Source organism: Homo sapiens, chromosome 21 (assembly GCF_000001405.40).
Source record: "Homo sapiens chromosome 21, GRCh38.p14 Primary Assembly".
Lineage (NCBI taxonomy): Eukaryota > Metazoa > Chordata > Mammalia > Primates > Hominidae > Homo > Homo sapiens.
Genome location: NC_000021.9, coordinates 10,988,135 through 10,990,194, shown reverse-complemented (window position 1 = coordinate 10,990,194; position 2,060 = coordinate 10,988,135). Strand labels below are relative to the sequence as shown.

The 2,060-nt window shown below is 38.4% G+C and overlaps 1 annotated feature.

Moving 5' to 3' along the window:
- Positions 1–2,060: part of a centromere (Linear centromere model derived predominantly from reads generated in PMID: 17803354. This region does not represent an actual centromere sequence, as long-range ordering of repeats and unmapped WGS contigs is not provided by the model. For details of model production, see http://arxiv.org/abs/1307.0035.) that runs on past both edges of the window.

Sequence of the window (2,060 nt, the reverse complement as noted above, 5' to 3'; positions counted from 1 at the left end):
TCCTTTGGCACCATAGGCCTTAAACCGCTCGCAAATATGACTCCACTTATACTACCAAGAGACTTTCTCCAAATTGCTAAATCAAAAGAAAGTTTCAACCCTGTGAGATGAATACACACATCAAAAAGAAGTTTCTCAAAATGCTTCCGTCTAGTTTTCATGGGAAGATATTTATTTTTCACCGTTGGCCCCAAACCGCTCAGAAATATCCCTTTGCAGTTTGTAGAAAAAGACTGCTTCCAAACTGCTCAATGTAAGGAAATGGCCAACTATTAGAGATGAATGGAAATGTCACAAAGAGTTTTCTCAAAAAGCTACTGTGTCGTTTTTATGTGAAGACATTGCCTTTGGCACCCTAGGCCTTAAAACTCTCTCAGTACACATTCACAGATTCTACAAAAGGACTGATTCCAAACTGCTCAATCAGAAGAAGGGTTCAATTCCGTGTGGCAAACGTGCACATCACCAAGGAATTTGTCAGAAAGCTTCTGTCTAGTTTTTATGTGAAGATATTTCATATTTCAACATAGGCCATAAAGGGCTCACAAATATCCCTTTGTAGATTCTAAGAAAAGACATTTTCCAAACTCCTCAATCAAAAGAAAGGTTTAACTCTGTGAGATGAATGGACACATCACAAAGAAGTTTCTTAGAAAGCTTCTGTCTAGTTTTTCTGTGAAGATATTTCTTTTTCACCATAGGCCTCAAGCAGCTAAGAAATTGCCCTCTGCAGCTTCTACCAAAGACTGTTTCCAAACTGCTCAACTGAAAGAAAGGTTGAATTCTGTGACATGAATTCACACATCACAAAGAGGTTTTTCAGAAATCTTCTGTCTGGTTTTTAGGTGACGATACTTCCTTTTTCACCACGGGCCTCAAATATCTCCAAATATCCATTTGCAGATTCTACAGAAAGACTTTCCAAACTGCTCAATCAAAAGAAAGGTTCAACACGGTAAGATGAAGGCACACATCACCAAGAAGTTTCTCAGAAACCTTCTGTCTAGTTTTTAGGTGAAGATACTTTGTATTTCACCACAGGCCTTAAAGGGCTCACAAATATCCCTCTGCAGGTTCTACAAAAAGACTGTTTCCAAACTGATCAATCAAAGGAGAGGTTCAACTCTGTGACGTGAATGGACACATCACAAACAATTTCTTGGAATGCTTCCGTCTAGTTCTTATGGGAAGATATTTCTCTTTCACCAGAAGCCTCAAACGGATCAGAATTCTCCCTTTGCAGATTGTACAATAAGCCTCTTTCCAATCTGCTCAATCAAAAGAAAGTTTCCACTCGGTGAGGTGAATGCACACATCGCAAGGGAGTTTCTCAGGAAGCTTCTGTTTAGTTTTTACGTGAAGATATTTCGTTTTTCACCACGGGCCTCAAAAGCTCTCCAAATATCCATTTGCAGATTCTAGAAAAAGAGTGTTTCCAAACTCCTCAATCAAAGGATAGTTTCAATTCTGTGAGATGAAAGCACACATCACAACGAAGTTTCTTAGAAAGCGTCTGTCTAGTTTTTATGTGAAGATACTTCACATTGCATCACAGTACTCAATGGGCTCAGAAATATCCCCTTGCAGATCCTACAAAAGGACTGTTTCAGAACTGCTCAATCCAAAGAAAGCTTCAACTATGTGAGACGAATGCACACGTCACGAAGAAGTTCCTCAGAATGCTTCTGTCTAGTTTATATGTGAAGAAGATTCCTATTTCACCATAGGCAATAAAGGGCTCACAAATATGTTTTGCAGATTGTACAAAAGGACTGTATCCAAACTGCTCAATAAAAAGAAGGTTTTAACTCTGTTAGGTTAATGGACATATCAAAAAGTAGTTTCTCAGAAAACTTCTGTTTAGTTTTTATGTGAAGATATTTCCTTTGTCACCATTGGCCTCAAAGCACTCCTAATATCCATTTACAGATTTCACAAAAAGAGTGTTTCCAAACAGCTCAATCAAAAGAAAGTGTTTAACTCTGTGAGGTGAAAGCACACATCTCCAAGAAGTTTCTCAGAAAGCTTCGGACTAGTTTTCATGTGATGATATTTCCAGT